This window comes from Homo sapiens, chromosome 12 (assembly GCF_000001405.40).
Source record: "Homo sapiens chromosome 12, GRCh38.p14 Primary Assembly".
NCBI lineage: Eukaryota > Metazoa > Chordata > Mammalia > Primates > Hominidae > Homo > Homo sapiens.
The window spans coordinates 93302574-93322778 of record NC_000012.12 but is presented as its reverse complement, the minus strand read 5'-3'; the positions used below and the strand labels follow the sequence as shown (position 1 = coordinate 93322778).

General features: G+C 42.5%; 1 long non-coding RNA gene across 1 annotated transcript in view, besides 4 other annotated features; it reads left to right on the top strand.

Moving 5' to 3' along the window:
• LOC643339 (uncharacterized) overlaps positions 1-20205 on the top strand; it is a 373979-nt gene that overhangs the window by 54958 nt on the left and 298816 nt on the right. The window lies entirely within an intron of this gene.
• Positions 8026-8170: an enhancer, noted in NCBI's record as "145 bp enhancer 125 fragment used in the MPRA reporter construct; PK_construct_5351". NCBI's record gives its function as "activates an SV40 promoter by MPRA in HepG2 cells {active_cell/tissue: HepG2}" and the evidence as "EXISTENCE:reporter gene assay evidence [ECO:0000049][PMID:23512712]".
• Positions 8092-8105: a transcriptional cis regulatory region, noted in NCBI's record as "HNF4 motif; enhancer activity is reduced when this motif is scrambled". NCBI's record gives its function as "necessary for full MPRA enhancer 125 activity {active_cell/tissue: HepG2}" and the evidence as "EXISTENCE:site-directed mutagenesis evidence [ECO:0005528][PMID:23512712]".
• Positions 19574-19623: an enhancer, noted in NCBI's record as "active region_6767". NCBI's record gives its function as "activates an Ori minimal core promoter by ATAC-STARR-seq in GM12878 lymphoblastoid cells {active_cell/tissue: GM12878}" and the evidence as "EXISTENCE:reporter gene assay evidence [ECO:0000049][PMID:35858748]".
• Positions 19644-19703: an enhancer, noted in NCBI's record as "active region_6766". NCBI's record gives its function as "activates an Ori minimal core promoter by ATAC-STARR-seq in GM12878 lymphoblastoid cells {active_cell/tissue: GM12878}" and the evidence as "EXISTENCE:reporter gene assay evidence [ECO:0000049][PMID:35858748]".

The following is a 20205-nucleotide window of genomic DNA, read 5'->3' as shown; positions in this document are numbered from 1 at the left end:
AGGCTGGAGTGCAATGGCGCGATCATAGCTCACTGCAGCCTCGAACTCCTGGGCTCAAGCAATCCTTTTGCCCCAGCCTCTCAAAACTCTGGGATTACAGGGATTACAGACATGAGAAACACTGTTCCCAGCCTTTTTTTTTTTAACAGAGGATTTTTAAAGAACCAATCAATGATATTTAGCAGTGTAAACAAATATACAATAAGTGTATTGTGAGGATTAAAAGACCAAAGGGTGGAGGAATTGTAACTATACTATCATAAGGTTCTTAAACTACATGTGGAGTAGTGTAATATTCTTTGAAGGGAGACTATGATACATAAAATATGAACATTGTAAACCCTAGAACAACCACTATTTCTTTAAATTGACAGATAAAATTGTATGTATTTTTTGTGTACAGCATGATGTTTTGAAGTGTATATACACTATGGAATGGTTAAATCTAGCTAATTAACAAACGCAATATACATCATGTAGTTATTTTTGTGGAGACAACACTTAATATCTACGCTTTACTTTTGTATTTTGGTCACCTGCAGTCTTGCCCAGGGTAGCAAGAATTACATTCCGCCTGCAATTATAGCTGATATGGGCTCACTTGTTCATGAAACATATGTTTACTGAGTGTTTACTCTGTGCCAAGCACATAATCCAGCCCCAATCTGCCTCCTTGACTTCATCTTCTCCTCACCCACTAGGTTCCAGCCATAGCCACTTATTTCCACCTTGGGGTCCTTCCACCTGCTCTTCTGGTTGCCTGGAATGCCCCTTACCCAGAACTTTCTTCTTTTTAAAAAATTGTTTTTCTTTTATTTTTATTTTTCACTCCTCTCAGCTCATATCTATCCAGAACTTATTTTTATTTTTATTTTTTGAGACGGGGTCTCACTCTGTTGTCAAGGCTGGAGTGCAGCGGTGTGATCTTAGCTCAATACAACCTCCGCCTACCAGGCTCAAGCCATCCTCCCACCTCAGCCTCCCGAGTAGCTGGGACTACAGACATGCAACACCACACCTGGCTAATTTTTGTATTTTTAGTAGAGACAGGGTTTCGCCATGTTGCCTGGGCTGGTCTTGAACTCCTGAGCTCAAGCGATCTGCCCACCTCGGTCTCCCAAAATGCTGGGCTTACAGGCGTGAGCTGCTATGTCCAGCCCAGAACTTTCAGTATCAGGTTTCCTTAATCTCATTTCCTCAGGGAAACCTTCTCTGATCAGTCTCCCATATTATTATCTAAAATCAAGCCAGGTGTGGTGGCCCACAAATGTAATCTAATGCTTTGGGAGGCCAAGGCAGGAGGATTGTTTGAAGCCAGAAGTTTGAGACCAGTCTGGGCAACATAGTGAGACCCTGTCTCTACAAAAAAATATAAAAATTAGCTGGGTGTGGCTGGGCATGGTGGCTCACACCTGTAATTCCAGTACTTTGGGAGGCCGAGGCGGGCAGATCACGAGGTCAATAGATCAAGACCATCCTGGCCAACATGGTGAAACCCTGTCTCTGCTAAAAACACAAAAATTAGCTGGGTGTGGTGGCAAGCACTTGTAGTCCCAGATGCTTGGGAGGCTGAGGCAGGAGAATCACTTGAATCCGGGAGGTGGAGGTTGCAGTGAGCCGAGATCGTGCCATTGAACTCCAGCCTGGCGACAGAGTGAGACTCCATCTAAAAAAAAAAAAATCAGCTGGGTGTGATGGTGAGTCTGTAGTCTCAAGTATTTGCAAAGCTGAGGCAGGAGAATTGCTTGAGCCCAGGCATTTGAGGTTGCACTGAACTATGTTCATGCCACTGTACTTCAGCCTGGCCAATAGAGTGAGACCTTGCCTAAAAAAAAAAAAAAAAGCAAATCAACTCGCTTGTTTAATTGTTTATGGTCTATGTCCCCCTATCTGGATGTAAACATATGAGGGCAGAATTGTGTTGGCTAACTCTTAGTAGGTGCTCTGTAGGTACATTTTGAATGGATGAATATGCTGTTAGGTGCATAGGCACCTGCCTTGCTAGAGTTCACAGACTTTGTGGAGAAGACAGGTAGTAAGTACCTTCGTGTAACAAATATAATAAATCAAACAGCGCATGTGGAAATATTGTGACTTCGCTGGGCATGGTGGCTCACACCTGTAATCCCAGCACTTTGGGAGGCCGAGGAGGGCAGATCACTTGAGGTCTGGAGTTGGAGACCAGCCTGACCAACATGGTGAAACTCTGTCGCTACTAAAAATACAACATTAGCCAGGCATGGTGGCACTTGCCTGTAATCTCATCTACTTAGGAGGCTGGGGCAGGAGAATCACTTGAACCTGGGAGGCGGAGGTTGCAGTGAGCCAAGATTGCACCATTGCACTCCAGCCTGGGCAACAAGAGTGAAACACCATCTCAAAAAAAAAGAAATATGGTGACTTATACCAAAGAAGTGTAATTTAGACTATGGGTTCCAGGGAGGGCCTCTTTCAACCCCGCAAAGTTTAAGTGGAGTCCTGAAGGATTTCACAACTTCTTTACCCACTGCTAAATAGGAACCAGTTTTCTTGTGCTTTATGCCATCTGGAATCTCCTTCAGTTTTGACTCCTAGGACAAGATTTTTGGTTATTGATGGGATACAGAGGTAATGAACCCTTCTAGTGATTTCAAGGCACTCAGTACTTTTAAGATATATCACAAACAAATAGTCCGTTTTAGTTCATAATAAATAATAATGCTTCACTCCAGGCCATTTCACCATCATATTTTTTAATGGAACTCAGCATTACAACTGTTCATGCATACATTTAACTCCCACAAATGTTAAGCTGATGCCACGATCTACTTGACAAATCCTGTTACTCCGTCTCCTCTTTTATGCCAAGGCAGTTAACCTTCATGCTGTTGTGGTTGTTCCACCACGAAAGCACTGGTGAGTGAGAATTTAATTGGAGAGAGTTTTTTTCCTCCTCATGTTTTGCAATATTGCTAGTGAAGCACTTTATTGGATACATTTTTGGGTTGCTACACTGATGATCTATTTTTAAAAACGGTCTCTTTAGTTATTAATTCAAACTTGCCCTTCATATAAAAAATGTCACTGCCACATAGCTGATGGATAAATACTTCATTGCTAGGAGCAGAGCCAAATAAATAGTCACAGCTTTCCCTTGCCCTGTTTTATAACCCACTGTAACTATAACTATCTCTCCATATATTTATTTCATTGCTGCGAAAATTGATATTTGTTGATTCAAAGTATAGTTAGGGCTCATCTCTAGGGTCAACTGAAAAGGTCTCTGTGTTTGGAGAATCAAATTATAATTTCAGCCAGTTTCATCATCTCTTCAGCAGCAAAATGGGTGTGTGACCAGAATGCACAATATGTATGTAGGCTGGAAGGTGGGACTTCATTATTCCAAAGCTGCAGCCGGGCACCAGAGGACACAAATCAGAGAAGGAATGAGTATTGTTGGAGTCCTCTGTTTTCCAGCCCTCTTTCTTTCTGTGTGACCTTGGACAAATCTCACCTCTCTACACTGCAGCTTCTTCCCTGTGAAACCAAGAGGGTGGATTGGATTATCTGTGGGCTCTGGAAGGCAGCCAGAAAATTTATTGAGGGGTTGTGGAAATCTCTTTTTATGGAAAACTTATTTGGGAGGGTTGCTGGGGGGCTCAAAGCTTTTGGCTGCTTTGAAACCAGTGAGAGAGAAAGAGAGAATAGAAAATTGTGCTTACTGTGTAAACAGTTAATAGCGCTATCAATTTCGACCTCATTGCCACATAATGGAGATAAGAATCTCATTATTCAGAGACATGCAAATGTAGCGATTCTAGTCTTTACACACAGCCACTTAATCACCATGCCACTCACGCTATGTAATTTGCTCTGTGAACTCAGGCACATAAAAAATGTCACCCTAATCACTGCCAGTCATGGCACCACTGAAGACAGCACCAGAATAATAGGTATTTGAAAGGGGACATGCTGAGGACTGCACTCTTGCAAGGCAAAAACAGGGAGCCAAACATAATGGGCTCTGATTGGCTTTGCAGAGCAACTGGCTGGAAATTGACACGGCTGCTCTCTAAATGGCGGCAAAGTTTGAAGTTGACCCTAAAAGATCAGTCTTCAAACTGGACTAGCAGGATTGGAAATGAGACCTCTCAGTGGCCTTGAAGAGAGCCATGTCACTCATTTTTACTATGCCAGAAATATAGACCTTTAGGAATTTCTTTGGCCTAGATCTGTGCTGTCCAAGATGGCAGCCACTAGCCACATGTGGCTACTGAGTACTTCTTTTTTTTTTTTTTTTTTTGACAGAGTCTCGCTCTGTCGCCCAGGCTGGAGTGCAGTGGCGCGATCTTGGCTCAATGCAATCTCTGCCCCAGGTTCAAGCGATTCTCCTGCCTCAGCCTCCCGAGTAGCTGGGATTACAGGTGCCCGCCACCATGCCTGGCTAATTTTTTTGGGTTTTTTTTGTAGTAGAGACAAGGTTTCACGACGTTGGCCAGGCTGGTCTCGAACTCCTGACCTCAGGTGATCCGCCCACCTCAGTCTCCCAAAGTGCTGGGATTATAGGTGTGAGCCACTGTGCCCAGCTGCTACTGAATACTTGAAATATGGCCAGTGCCACTGAGTGTAAATATAAAATGCACACTGGATGTCAAAGGCTTTGTCCAAAAAAAAAAAAAAAAGAAATATAAATTAAAAAAAGAATTACATGCGCAGTGGCTCACGCCTGTAATCCCAACACTTTGGTAGGTCGAGGAAGGCAGATCATTTGAGGTCAGGAGTTCAAAACCAGCCTGGCCAACATGGTGAAACCCTGTCTCTACTAAATACAAAAATTAGCCGGACATGGTGGCACATGCTAATTAATCCCAGCTACTCAGGTGGCTGAGGCAGGAGAATCACTTGAACCCGGGAGGCAAGGTTGCACTGAGCCAAGATTGAGCCACTGCACTACAGCCTAGGCGACAGAGTGAGACTCTGTCTCAAAAATAAATAAATAAAATAGCTCATTAATAATTTTTATATTGGTCACATGTTAAAAATATATTGTATATATTAGATTAAATATAATGTATTATTCAAATTAATTTCTTTTGTTTCTTTTTACTTTTTAAATTTTACTCTTTAGAAAATTTAAAGTTATATGTAGCTCACATTTTGTTTCTGTTGGACAACACTGGCCTACAGAAATGAGATGCTTGTTTCCTCTAGTTGCTAAGACTCTATCTTGTTTTTCTTGCTCTCTTTACAAACTCAAGTTCCTTTAAAGATTCTTCACGTTGATATAAGGAGCCTGCTTCCTCATTGCCATTTGGGTGCAGAGTTCTTCCTGTCAGCCCACTCATCATGCTCATCATACCTTGCTGCCAGGCCTCTCTATGCTGATGACTCGAGGAAAACACGCTCCTCTGGTTGCAAAGAAGGCATTGTTTCTAAAGGCACCTGTCTCAGAGCTCTAGATGGATTATGACCCACGGCGGTCATTGGACTGTAAACCTGACACAGGTTTAACCTTCTGATGGAGCTTGGTTTTTGTCCTAGAAAAACTATAAAGAGAAAAACAGCGGCACATAAAGAACAGTATATGGTGTAAAGAGAAGCGGGAGTCCTGGGTCGATGTTAGAAGACATGAATGCAAATCCCTGGCTGGCTATTAACTTAGTTTGATTTGGATAAATCTCTGTATTTGAGCCTCAGTTTCTCTATCAGATGCCTGTAAAATGAACTCAAAAACGCTTTCTTCAGAAAATTGCTCAAGTATCAAATGAGATAACATATAAGAAAGTAATTGTGGGCTGGGCATGGTGGCTCACACCTATAATCCCAATACTTTGGGAGGCTGGAGTGGGAGGATCGCTTGAGGCCAGGAGTTCAAGACCAGCCTGGGTAACATGGCAAAACCTCATCTCTACAAAAAATAAAAAACCTAGCCCAGCATGGTGGCATGTGATTGTGGTCCCAGCTACTTGGGAGGCTGAGATGAGAGTATCACTTGAGCCCAGGAGGTTGAAGCTACTGTGAACCACATGCCACTTCACTTCACTCCTGCCTTCCAGCCTGGGAGACAGATTGATACCCTGCCCAAAAAAAAAAAAAAAAAAAAAAAAGAACTTGTTAATTACAAAGCTTTGTTTATGGTGGCAGTTTTATGGTAGAGGGGTAAATCCTGTGGACAGATTGTTGTGTTTGGCCAGAAAAGTGTTTTTTGTTTAGTTGAATGGGAATGCCTCCAGTTTGTCACGGACTTTATCGCTCTTATCTTAATTCACCTGCCTGGCTGCTGAAGACAGATATGTTTGTGTACCTTGCAAAAATGAGGAGTGCAATGCATAGTAACACAACTATGTTACTGAGCATAGCCTATGTAGTAGGCACTATGTACTAGGTACTATGCTAGATGCTAGCTGATGTGGTTCCTATCCCTGGGAGCTCTCAGTCAGCACATAAATTACAGCACAACCAAGTCCAGATAAACAGACACCAAGTACTTGTTGTGGGCTGGCCACTGTTCTAAGCTACCGGGATAAAAATTATTCTGCTCAGAACAAATTATCTGGGGATTAGGGAGAAAGATGAGCAACTAACTGCCTTGGGGGAGGCTGTTCAAGAGGAAGTGGGGATATTCAAGAAAGAAAAGTAACATTTTTGAGCCAAGACTGGGCCATGTGTAAGATAAGGCACTTATTATGCACTTTCATCCTCTGAAAACAGCTCTCAGAAGTAGATATTGTTATCTTCATTTTGCAAAGGAGTGTGGCTTATGAGACCTGCCCAAGGCCACATACAATGGACAAAGCTAGGATGTGAATCCAGGTCCTTCTTAGTGAGCCTAAGCCCACAGTACGCCCACTCTGCTTCTCCCAGGGATTAATGAATGATTCATCACAATTGTTTTATTTCTGTTCGTAGGGTTTTCTCTCCTACACCTTAATAAAGCCAAAGTTTATTTACTATTAAAGTTACAATGAAGTACTTATGAAAGCATACAAATTTGTAAAATAAGTCCTTATGTTTTCAAGAAAATTACCAGATATAATATTAACGACAAGATGAAACAAAGATACGAATCATGACTTTTGTCCTGTTTTAAAGTCACCTTATGGAACAATACATCATGAAATCAATAGTTGTACATCTAGGAAATTTACCACTGGAGCTCTCTTCCACTGGTGTGGATATTCTAATTGGTCTCAGGTGGCCGTCTCTGCCATTTTGGTGATTGGCTAGAATCCAAGGGTGTTTTTGAAGATGGCACCTGGAATTCACAAAACATGGCTAATTCTTCTGAGAAGAGATGGGACACAAACATGAAAGAGGAGTCGTAAAAACGTCAGGCATCTTTCGGTGCTCCTTCATCTCCTAAGGAGCTTCTCCCAGGACAGGTCTCTGTCCCCGCATTCTTTCCTTCCGCCTGGAGGGTAAGTTCCCGGATGCAGGAGGTAGTTTGTTTGCCCGAGGGCTCCGACCAGCATTGGGTGCTGAGGGAGGCGGGCCCGGCGGTGCGCATTTTTTTTTTTTTCCAGACAAGTCTTGCTCTGTTGACAGGCTGCAGTGCAGTGGCACCATCTCGGCTCACTGTAACCTCCGCTTCCTGGGTTCAAGTGATTCTCCTGCCTCAGCCTCCTGAGTAGCTGGGATTACAGGCGCCCGCCATCATGCCCAGCTAATTTTTGTATTTTTAGTAGAGACGGGGTTTCGGTTTCACCATGTTGGCCAGGATGGTCTCTATCTCCTGACCTCGTGATCCGCCTGCCTCAGCCTCCCAAAGTGTTGGGATTACAGGCGTGAGCCACCGCGCCCGGCCCCGGCAGTACACTTTGAATTCAGCAGTGACCAGGGCTGTTTGTTTAGAAAAGCCCGGGGCTCTGGTTCTCCACTGTAGTGTCATTCAGCAATGATTCCTTAGTGACAAACAACCCCGCCCTAACCCCCAGGTGAGTTTGACCCATGTCTGTTGCTATGCCAACCACAAGGCCCCGCCCCTTTACCCCAGGCTGACTTGGGATTGGCTTTTCCAGTGGGCAAAGGTCAAGGAAGGACGGTTGCCACGGATCATGCGCAGCGCGATGGCCTCGGCTGTGGGCTTCCGCCTGTTTGCCTTTCTTCCGCTCTCGGGGTAAAGGTCACCAGGGGCTGGTTCAGACCGCAGGCTCTGGAATCTGCCACACCTGGGTTGGAACCTTCACCACTGTCCCCCGCCCCAGCCACATTCTAATGAGTTACCTGCGGCAAGTTTAGGTCTAAGCCTCAGATGTTTTCCTCAGATGTAAAAATGTGTATTACCAAGGTTGTGAGATTTTGATGATAGCCGCAGGCACTTCTGTCTTCTTACAACATGCTATGTGTTTTTCTGAGCGTTTTACATAAGCTAACTCAATTCATCCTCACAACAAGCCTACAAGATAGGTATCTTTGTCATCCCACTTACAGATGAGGAAACTGAGGCATGGGAAAGTTACAGGACTTTCTCAACATCCAGTAGTTTGTAGATGCAGACCTGAGACATCAAAGCAAGTTTGAGTCCAGGAAACACCGTTGGGCAGCACATGCCTGTAATCCCAGTGCATTGGGAGACTGAGGCGGGAGGCTTGCTTGAGACTAAGAGTTCCAGACCAGCCTGGGCAAAGATAGTGAGACCCCATTTCTACAAAAAAAAAAAAAAAAAAAAAAAAAAGAAGAAAAGAAACACATGCCACTTTGGGACACAGTAGATATTTAATAAATTCTATTTATTTTTAATCCCATTACTATTATTGGTTCTGGTTTTCACGGCTTCCATGAGTCACTTTGGAAGTGGAGTGAGACAAAACGTTTTTGTGAGAGTATGATTTAAGAAAAATATTTTTGGACTGGCTGAGGTGGCTTGTGCCTGTAATCCCAGCACTTTGGGAGGCTGGGATGGGAAAATTGCTTGAGCCCAGGAGTTCCAAACTAGCCTGGACAACATAGTGAGGCCACATCTCTACAGAAAATAATTTTTGAAAATATATATGGTTTTGAACTTGAGTAAGGATAGTGTGGTTTAATTCAATTTCTCTTTTAACTCCAGTTTATTAAAGCTTAAGATTTTTAACACATTTTGCAGTTTACATTTTTATATACATTGTTCTTAATGATGAACATTAATATCTTCTTGTAGGCTTCTTCTAGGCTAAAGTGAGCTAATATGTGTAAATAACTTAAGTTCTTAGTACTGAGTACGTGCTGAATAAGGCAAGTATATATGGAAGGTCCTGAAGGTATGACTGTGATTTCACCTGGTCCCCAACTCTAATATTTCCTTGTGGGGATGCATCGGTTCCCAGGTTTTCTAGGACCAGTTGAAGCAGTGTACATTTGTACACTGTATTGCCAATTGCCAGTACAAGAGTGGGGAGCTTCTTGAGGCCAGAGGTCTTCTTGAGGCCACTTTGCTATTAAGGAAAAAGTTCACAGAGGAGCAAAGCAGCTGCTGACCACCCAGGAAAGGTAGCCTGATGGGAGCCTGCTCAAAGGGGTTTGCAGCCCCTTCTGAAATCTCTGCAGTGGGTTTTTCAATGGAACTAATGGTGTTTATATGTTAATTGCATATTAGAAATAGAAAAGACTTGATCAAAATAAGCAATAGTCTGCTAACTGATGCATAAGATACAAAAGCCAGACTTCCAGGGCCAAATCCCACCTGCAACACTTACCAGCTGTGTGTCCTTGGGCAGCGGCTTAACTTCTGTGCTGCAGCACCTTGTCCATAATTTGGGGATCATAAAAGTATCTATCTCATGGAGCTATCATGAGGATTAAGTGAGCTAGTACACATAATGCTTTTAGAGCAGTGCCTGGCACATGGCTGGATCTCAATAAATGTTATATATAATATATGGATACATATGCATACGAATAAATTATGTACAGGAATCATCCTAGTTACACAAACAATATAAGAGAGAAAAAAAACCACAGTCTTTTCCTTATTGTAGTTGTGGTCCCTTAACGCTGTTTTCCATGTAATGTGACATTTTCATGTCTAACATTTTGCTTAAGGTGATGTTGGCTTAGCTGCTGAGTTGCCCAAAGGGTCTGTTCCTACTTGTGTCATGAAATCATTTAAATCAAGGACCTAGACGGTGGAGTAGTGAGTTGAGAAAATGAAGACATGCTTCTCCTGCTTTCGGCCTTACTTCTTATGGCAATTGGCACAAAGAAATGTAATGCTTCCATTTAGCATACCGGCCAATGTGGTGGATGTTGTCCCTTAAGGCAGGGGGCCCCAGAATGTGACTGTATTTAGAAATAGGGTCTTTAAAGAAGTGGTTAAAATAAAATTATGGGTAGGCCCTAATCCAATATGACCAGTGACCTTACAAGAAGAAATGTGGATATAGACAGGTACAGAGAGAAAACCATCTGCAAGCTGAGGAGAGAGGCCCTAGAAGACACCAACCCTGCTGTTAGCTTGATCTTGGACTTCTAGCTTCCAGACCTGTGGAAAAATAAATTCCTGTTCTTTAACAACTCTGCGATACTTCGTTGGGCATCTCTAGAAAACTATCACAGCGACGGTGGGGCTCTAAGCAAGGCAGAGAGAGACCTTAACATAGTTGAGGCTGGAAGTTTTGGGCAAAGAGGTGAGTGTAGGTTTGAGAACTTTGGGACTACAAGGGGAAAGTCATTTTTAGATGCCTCTCTGGAGGAAAACAGAAAATGGGTGGTATGATTGCTCACTTTAAAATAAATTCTTCACTTTACAAATGACTCACTTCTTGTAGCCAGAAGATAGATTAGAAGCCATGATAAAAATACTAGGGAATCAGAATTAAAGTCAGTGGAAAAGTATTATTTGTACTATGAACATCTCCTTCACACAGAATGTTTTAGGAATGCGTTTACCTCAGGAAGGCAGACAACTGGGACCATGTACAAAGGATTAGGTGGGGTCCCTGGAAGGAATTTATTGGAAGTACCAGAAGAGCCCGTAGACTGGGGACAAGATTATTGCACTCATACCAAAGAGAAAAGGAAATGCAGAAACTTGATTATTCGCTAAGTAGGTTTACTGCCCCTACCTTTGAATTTCATCTGTATTTAAGTCTTTTATTTATTTTTGAGATGGAGTTTCACTATTTTTGCCCAGGCTAGAGTGCAAAGGTGCGATCTCAGGTCACTGCAACCTCCGTCTCCCAGGTTCAAGTGATTCTCCTGCTTCAGCCTCCTGAGTAGCTGGGATTACAGGTGCCCGCCACCACACCTGGCTAATTTCGTATCTTTAGTAGAGACAGGGTTTCACCATGTTGGCCAGGCTGGTCTCAAACTCCTGACCTTAGGTGATCTGTCTGCCTCGGCCTCCCAGAGTGTTGGGATTACAGGCGTGAGCCACCGGGCCTGGCCCAGTCTTTTCTTTTTTAAACGTTATTTTTCCTGGAGATTTAGACTTAGCAGTGTGGCCAGGTTCTAGCATGGATTTGATAAACCTGGGACAAGTGGGTTGGTGAGGCTAAGGGGATTGAGAGAACACCTAAAATAGATTTTGCCCTCTAGCCATCATTTCCAGGGTTTGACCACTGATGTCACATCAGACAGACGGAGAGACAGTCAGATAGAACTTGCTTTCACAGGACTTCATCTGAAGTCATTATTCTAGTGCTAGGTCTATATTTCATCTGTCTGCTTTTGGAAAGTGCTGAGAAGAAAGCCTTCCTTCTTTCTCCCCACGCCCTCCCCCAAGTTTATACTATACATTTTTAAAAATGTTATTTTAAATGATCATACCATAAGTGGGCAAAAGAATGAGTTTCCTTGTTTAAATAGTCACTTTTTTTTTTTTGAGACTGAGTTTCGGTCTTGTCACCCAGGCTGGAGTGAGTGCAATGGCACAGTCTCGGCTCACTGAAACCTCCGTCTCCCAGGTTCAAGCAATTCTCCTGCCTCAGCCTCCTGAGTAGCTGGGATTACAGACACCTGCCTCCACATCCAGCTAATTTTTGCATTTTTAGTAGAGGCAGGGTTTTACTATGTTGGCCAGGCTGGTCTTGAACTCCTGACCTCAGGCGATCCACCCACCTTGGCCTCCCAAAGTGCTGGGATTACAGGCATGAGCCACCATGCCCGGCAGAGTCACATGGTTTTTTAACATTGAGTATGACGGGCGGATGTTCTTTCTGGTTCTAATGATTTTTTTGTCTTTCTTTTTTCTATTGGAAAATTTTTCTGGGAATCTCCAGCAGGCAGAAAGCATGAAAACTGTATGATCAGACTGAAGGTTTGACCTTTGAGCTCTGCTGAAAGTATACACCCAGCCATAGACCATTTTTCTGTCACAACGATTTCCACATAAAAGTTTTCTCCCTGTCCGTTCGTGAAAAAATTAACATTCAGGAGGCTCTCTGGGATGGAATGCATTTCATGTGTCAGTCACTAGTGTTTGGTAAGATATCGTCAGTGCTGGCAAGGGGCAGAGAGAAGAGTGGGTCAATGGCATGAGGTTCACTGCTGGGCTGCCTTTACGTGGGACAGGGAAGCTGGAATCAGTCCTGTGCTGAGCATAAGATGCTGCCTTACCTTGGTGGTGACAAGTCATCTTACCTCTGGTAAGAAAAAGTTTTGTAGCTATGATTATTTTTTTCTAACAGCCTGCTCTTTCTTCAGGAGGTAGCCTTTACTGTCTATTGGGTCTACATAAAGGTTTCCCTGGTGAGAGTGAATGAGTAGGTGATTCAAACTTAGAATAAGCACTGGGTGGGCTGCCCAGATCTCCCACTTCATGACTGAAACCGGCAGTCTGATTGGCTGACAGCTCACACCTGTCTCCTCCTGCTCTCCCCGACAACCCTAGTGATGAGAAGCCAGCTGTCCAAGGTCATTTCCCTTCATATCATGATGTGAGGTCTAAATGTCCAGCCCCCTTGCTTTATTTTGGGATATTTCTGTAAGACCATCCTAGCTCAAGGGCTCCCCAGGAGATGGGCGGAAGCCCTTGCTGTGACTGCGTTGCAGCCCAACTTCTCCCTCTGCCTGAATCAGCAGCTTTGATATCTCCACAGGTGTTAATCCCAAGATCACTTCCCAATAAACCTCCTGTGTGTAAGCCTCCATCTCTAAGTCTGTTTCCCAGGAAACCCAACCTGCAACAATATTTTTCTTAAATATGGCAGTTTTATTTATACTTTTTTTTTTTTTTTGAGACAGAGTCTCTCTTTGTCACCCAGGCTGGAGTGCAGTGGCTCGATCTCGGTTCACTGCAACCTCTGCCTCCCAGGTTCAAGCGATTCTTCTGTCTCAGCCTCCTGAGTAGCTGTGGTTACAGGGACCCGCCACCACGCCTGGTTAATTTTTTTTAGTGGAGACAGGGTTTCACCATGTTGGCCAGGCTGGTCTTGAACTCCTGAGCTCAAGTGATCTGCACTCCCCTTGGCCTCCCAAAGTGCTGGGATTACAGGCATGAGCAACTGCGCCCAGCCTTTAGTCCTCTAAATTTGTTGATGTTGGTTTTATGGCCCAAGATATAGTCTATTTTGGGATGTGTTCCATGGGCGCTTGAAAATAATGTGTTTTCTGCTATTGTTGGGTGGAATAGTCTATAAATGTAGATTAGGTCCTATTGGTTAATAGTATTATCAGGCTGGGAGCGGCGGCTCACACCTTTAATCCCAGCACTGGGGGAGGCCAAGGCAGGAGGATTGCTTGAGCCCAGCAGTTTGAGACCAGCCTGGACAACATAGTGAGGCCCCTATCTCTACAAAAAATAAGATAACATAAATTAGCCAGGTGTGGTGGCAGGTGCCTGTAGTTCCAGCTACAAGGGAGGTTGAGGTGGGAGGAGCACTTGAACCTGAGAGGTCGAGGCTGGAGAGAGCTGTGATCATGCCACTGCACTCCAGCCTGGGTGACAGAGTGAGACCCTGTCTCAAGGAAACAAACAAAGTATTCCTGACTTCTTCTACATCCCTGCCAATTTTCTGTCTGCTTGTTCTATCAGTTGTTGAGAGAAGGCATTGAAGTTTATGACTATTAGTGTGGATTTGTCTATTTATTCTTTCAGTTCTATCAGTTTGTGTTTCACATTTTGCAGTTCTGTTGTTTGTTGCACACACATTTAGGAAGCTACGTCTTCTGGATGGACTAACCCTTTTATCATTATGGAATGTTTTGCCCCATCTCTGGTAATTTTCTTTACTCAGTAGTCTACTCTATTTGATATTAATATAGCAACTCCTGCTTTCTTTTGATTAATGTTTAGATGAGATATATTTTTTCTATTTGTTTACTTTGAATCTACCTATCTAATTATAATTGGAATTTCTTGTAGACACATGTATAGTTGGGTCATGTTTTTTCGTCTACTCTGCAAATCTCTGTCTTTTCATTGGTGTGTTAGGTCGTTTACACTGGATATAATTATTGATGTGATAGGACTTGTGCCTGACATTTTATTTTTTGTATTTTGTATCTTTTGTTTTCTCTCAGTTTTATGTTTCTGTTTTTTTTCTAACTTCCTATGGGTTATTAAAACTTAGTGCATTTAGGCCGAGCGTGGTGGCTCACACCTGTAATCCCAGCACTTTGGGAGGCCAAGGCCGGCGGATCACGAGGTCAGGAGATTGAGACCATCCTGGCTAACACAGTAAAACCCCGTCTGTACTAAAAATACAAAAAAAAATTAGCCGGGCATGGTGGCAGGTGCCTGTAGTCCCAGCTACTCGGGAGGCTGAGGCAGGAGAATGGCGTGAACCAGGGAGGCGGAGCTTGCAGTGAGCTGAGATCGCACCACTAGACTCCAGCCTGGGCGACGGTGTGACTCTGTCTCAAAAAAAAAAAAAACAAAAAACAAAAACAACTTAGTGCGTTTAAGTGTATCTTTGCATAGTATTTTTAGTGGTTATATATACATAACTTATCACTGTCTACTGGAATTGACATTTTAGCAGTTTAAGTGAAGCATAGAAACCTTACTTCTCCTTATGTCTTTTTACTCTCCATATTTATAATTCTTTTTTTTTTTTTTTTGAGACAGGGTCTCACTCTGTCACCCAGGGTGGAGGGCAGTGGTGCAATCATGGCTTACTGCAGCCTCAACCTCCCAAGGCTCAGGTGATCCTCCTGCCTCAGCCCCTGAGTAGCTGGGATTACAGGCATGATTCCTGGTGCCTGGCTAATTTTTGTATTTTTAGTAAAGATGGGGTTTTGCCATGTTGCCCAGGCTGGTCTTAAATTCCTGGGCTCAAGCGATCCATCCACCCTGGTATCCCAAAGTGCTGGTATTACACTGCGCCCAGCCCATAAATCTTAAATAGCCCATCTATATGCATTTAGAACCACATCACTGTTATGTTTGCTTTAGCTATTTAAAAGAATCTGGGAAACTTAAGTGGAGAAGAAGAATCCATTATATTTACTCATAATTTTACTGTTTCTTCCTGATGTTCCAAGATTACTGCTTTTATCATTTTTTTGTTGTTGTTTTTCTGTTTAGGAAACTTCCTTTAGCACTTTTTTTTTTTCTCTTTTTTTGTGACGGAGTCTCACTCTGTCACCCAGGCTGGAGTGCAATGGCATGGTCTCAGGTCACTGCAACCTCTGCCTCCCGGGTTCAAGCAGTTCTCCCACCTCAGCCTCCCGAGTAGCTGGGACTACAGGCGTGTGCCACCACACCCGGCTAATTTTTTTGTATTTTTAGTAGAAACGGGGTTTCACTATGTTGGCCAGGCTGGTCTCGAACTCCTGACCTCATGATCTGCCCGCCTTGGCCTCCCAAAGTACTGGGATTAAAAGCGTGAGCCACTGTGCCCAGCCTAGCCTATCTTTTAGTTTATGTCTGATGATGACAAATTATCTTAGTTTTCTTACATGTGAGAATGTCTAAGTTTTCCCTTCATTCCTGAAGATATTTTCTCTGGATATAGAATTCTGGATTGATAGTTCTTTCCTTCCAGCACTTGAAAAACACTGTGCCACTTCCTTCTGGCTTCCATGATTTCTGATGAGAAATCTGTTGTCATTAGAATTGTTTTCTCCTGTGAGTAAGGTGTTATTTCTCTTTCACTGCTTTCATTACTTTTTTTTTTCTTTTTGGTCATGAAGCATGGAAGAGACTTAATTTAATAATTTTTTCTCTGTCTTTAGTTTTCCCAAGTTTGACTATGATGTGTCTTGGCATGGATTTCATTTGGTTTTTCTTGTTGAGGTGCATTGAGCTTCTTAAATCTCTAGGTTTACATCTTTTGCCAAACTTGAGATATTTAGCCATTATTTCTTCAAATACTTTTTTCAGCTCCATCTTCTTTCTTCTCTTCTTCTGGGACTCCAGTGATATTAATGTTAGACTGTTTAAAATAATCTATAGATCCTTATTGCTCTGTTAATTTATGGGGGGTGGGGTATCTATTTTCTTTCTGTTGTTCAGACTGGGTAATTTCTAGTTATCTATCTTCAAGTTCACTGTTTACTTCTATTGTCTCCTCCATTCTGCTGTTGAGCTCGTCCGCTGAGTTTTTAATTTCTATCGTTGTAGTTTTCAGTTCCAAATTTCCATTTGGTGCTTCTTTAAATCTTCTATTTCTTTGCTGAGACTTTCTATTTTTTTCATTTGTTTAAATATGTTTATTATGGCTAATTGAAGCATATTTATAATAGCTGTTTACAAATATTTGTTAGATAATTCTAGTATCTCTGTCATGTCAGTGTTGGCACCTATTGGTTATATTTTTAGATAAGTTAAGATTTTTCTTGTTCTTACTATGATGAATGTTTTTTTATCAAAACCTGGACATTTGGGTATTGTGTTATGGGACTCTGGATCTTATTTAAGCCTTCTGTTTTAGCTGGCTTCTTCTAATACCACTCTGGCTGGTGGTGAGGGAGCCACCTCTTTATTAATGCCAGGTGTGGTAGAAATCCAGGTTCCCCACTCAGCATCCATTAACATCCTCAGGACAGAAAGGGCTCCTCATTAGTGCCGGGTGTAGGTGGGAATTCTGGCTCCCCATGTTGCCTCCACTGATACCACAAGCATTGGAGTAGCCTTGTTACTTTTGAGCACTGGAAAAAGTCTTATTATCTCCACTAGAGCTACTCTGACACCATCCCAGTGGAGAAGGGGAAGGGTGCCCCATTAACAGAAGTGGAAGTCCAGACTCCCTCCTTTACCTTTGCTGGCATGGGTGGAGGTGGAGTCAGAGTTTTTCTATGATGTTTAGCTGGAGTAGAGTGGTTATTATCGAAAAGTTTTCTGTCTTGCTGTTTGGCTAACCTTCTCTTTTCCTGGTCCTTTGGCTAGAGACATCAGGCTTGTTTTGGACTTTCTTTGTCTGTATCCATTGGCATTCTGTGCATCTACCTTCTCCAGCTCCAGCACAGTTTGGGATATAAGAGGCAATAAAGAAACCCAGGGAATTCACTGCTATGTCATTCTTTGGGTCCTGAGATTCCTAGTAGTCTGCATTCTTCTTTCCACCTTTATATATAAGGTCCATGATTTTCAGTTGTACTTTGCAGAAGGAATAGGGAAATGTACTTCTCCATTTTTCTCAAAGCAGATGTCCCTAATGTATATTCAGCCCATTTATTTGGAAGTCTCTTTAATTCTGCCCCTCCGCTGCAAAAACTGTGGACATTAATGAAACTTTAGTCTTCAAAACTGAATCTAATTATTATTATTGAGACAGGGTCTCCCTCTGTCACTCAGGCTGGAGTGCAGTGGCATGACCCCCAGGCTGAAGCTGTTTTCCCACCTCAGCCCCCTGAATAGCTGGGACCACAGGCATACATCACCACACCCAGCTAATGTTTTATTTTTAGTAGAGATGGGGTCTTACTATGTTGCCCAGGCTGGTCTCGAACTCCTGGGTTCAAACAATCCTCCTGTCTCAGCCTCCCCAAATGCTGGAATCACAAGCATGAGCCTCCACACCTGGCCAAAATTGAATCTAAACGAAGGATTGCTAAGTTTGGATTATTTGAGATATTGAGAATCACTATTTATTAGGAGTAAAACTCATGCCCTAGATTTTTCAGGGAAGTCTGGGTTTTAAGTAATTTCATTATTTTAATCCCCCCCCCCCCAAAAGCATTTCATCAACTAAAAAAAGTGATTTTTTAAATACTAAAAAACTGACAAATATGAGAAAAACCTGTATCTGACCTCAAGTCCCTTTTTTTTCATTTTGGAAAATGAGGTTACAATTTATCTAGTCATGAGATACAAGAGGCAACCCATAGGGAACTAATATTTATTTTGAGGCATTCTTTTGCTAAACATCTGGATGATTGCTAGAGAATAATAACAATGATAATAAAAGTGAATATTTGCAGAATATTTTACTATAAGTCAGGCACAGTTTATGCTCACTGTCTCATGTAAAATTCACTGTATGCCTATTCAGAAAATTGTAATATTTTCTTTTCTTTCTTTCTTTTTTTTTTGAGATGGAGTCTCTCTCTTGTTACCAAGGCTGGAGTGCAATGGCGTGATCTTGGCTCACAGCAACCTCCACCTCCCAGGTTCAAGCAATTCTCCTGCCTCAGCCTCCCGAGTAGCTAGGATTGCAGGCATGCGCCATCTGGACCAGCTAATTTTGTATTTTTAATAGAGATGGGGTTTCTCCATGTTGGTCAGGCTGGTCTCGAACTCCTAACCTCAGGCGATCCGCCTGCCTTGGTCTCCCAAAGTGTTGGGATTAAAGGAGTGAGCCACCACGCCCGGCCAATATTTTCTTCAGTTTGCAGATGAGTAAACAGAAGTTTAAAGAGGCTAAGTAGACCAGGCACGGTGGCTGACACCTGTACTCCCAGCACTTTGGGAGGCCTAGGTGGGTGGATCACCTGAGGCCAGGAGTTCGAGACCAGCCTGGGCAACATGGTGAAACCCCGTCTCTACTAAAAATACAAAAATTAGCCAGGCATGGTGGCAGATGCTTGTAATCCCAACTATTCAGGTGGCTGAGGCATGAGAATCGCTTGAACCCGGGAGGCAGAGGTTGCAGTGAGCCAAGATTGTGCCACTGCACTCTAGCCAGGGCGACAGAGTGAGACTCTGTCTCAAAAATAAAATAAAATAAAATAATAAAGAGGTTAAGAAGATGGCTTAAAGTCACACAGCCAGCAAGTCGGGGGAGCTTAGTCTCTGTGACACTATCACCCATGCTGTAGACCATCACCATCTGATAGAAATAATGTGAGCCCCATATATTATTTAAAGTGTTCTAATAGCCACATTAAAAAGTAAAAAGAACCATGTGAGATTAATTTTAATAATATATTTCCTTTAACCCAATATAGCCAAAATATTATCATTTCAACATGTAATCAATATAAAAACTATTAATGAGACAGTTACTTTTTTTGTGCTAAGTCTTTGAAATCTGGTGTGGATGTAACACATAGCACATCTCGGTTTGGAGACTAAATTTTCATTGGAAATACTTGGTCTGTATTTAGATTTCATAAAATTTCATAAAATTAGATTTTATAAAATTTAGGTTTCACAAAATTTACAGTTGAAAAAGTAGATTTACATATCAAAGTTATTCCAAACATATGCAGAAATTCTCCAATAACTAAATTATGTAGAAGTTCTTCAATAACTAAATCTGGTCCAAGTTTTCAAATTAAAGTTTAAATTAATTACAATCTCCTTTCTCTGTCACTGTAGCTATATTTTGAGTGCTCAGTAGTCATGGCTGAGTGCTCTAGAACATTCTGTTACCCTGCCTGAATTATTTCTGTTAAGGGCTGAATCTCAAGGGGAACAAAACTTATGCCATAGCCAGAAAGAGGGAGAAAATTCGTGGAAGTGGAAGAAGGGTCAGCCAAGGGTCAAGAGAAAAGACCTTCTTTTTGGCTGCTATTAGGGTTACAGTAAGTTCTAGAGTTTTGGTAACTAGGGAAGGAAGCTAAAAGTGTTTTCTTTCATTTCTGAGAATACGTCATGTGTATATCTTACTAAACCTGGCTTTTCAAAGAAGGCTATGTCTTGATCTAGGAAAGATTAAAGCCAAATGAAAATAGCACTGAGCTCCTGGCAGAATAGCTCACCAGCTGAGCATGTCCATGAGGTCACAAGCTCTGTCTGTGTAATGGTTAGTCACTCAGTAAGGGGTCCAAGTCAAAGCTAAACCCTCTACCACAAACCCTGGAATGGAAAGGATCTCATATTTATTCTTGTCGTAGTTGTTTGTGGGGATCCCTGGGTTATGGAATATGTCTCAAAATGGCAGAAATTACACCTCGGTGCCAAGCAGTAGTTCCTGATCTTTT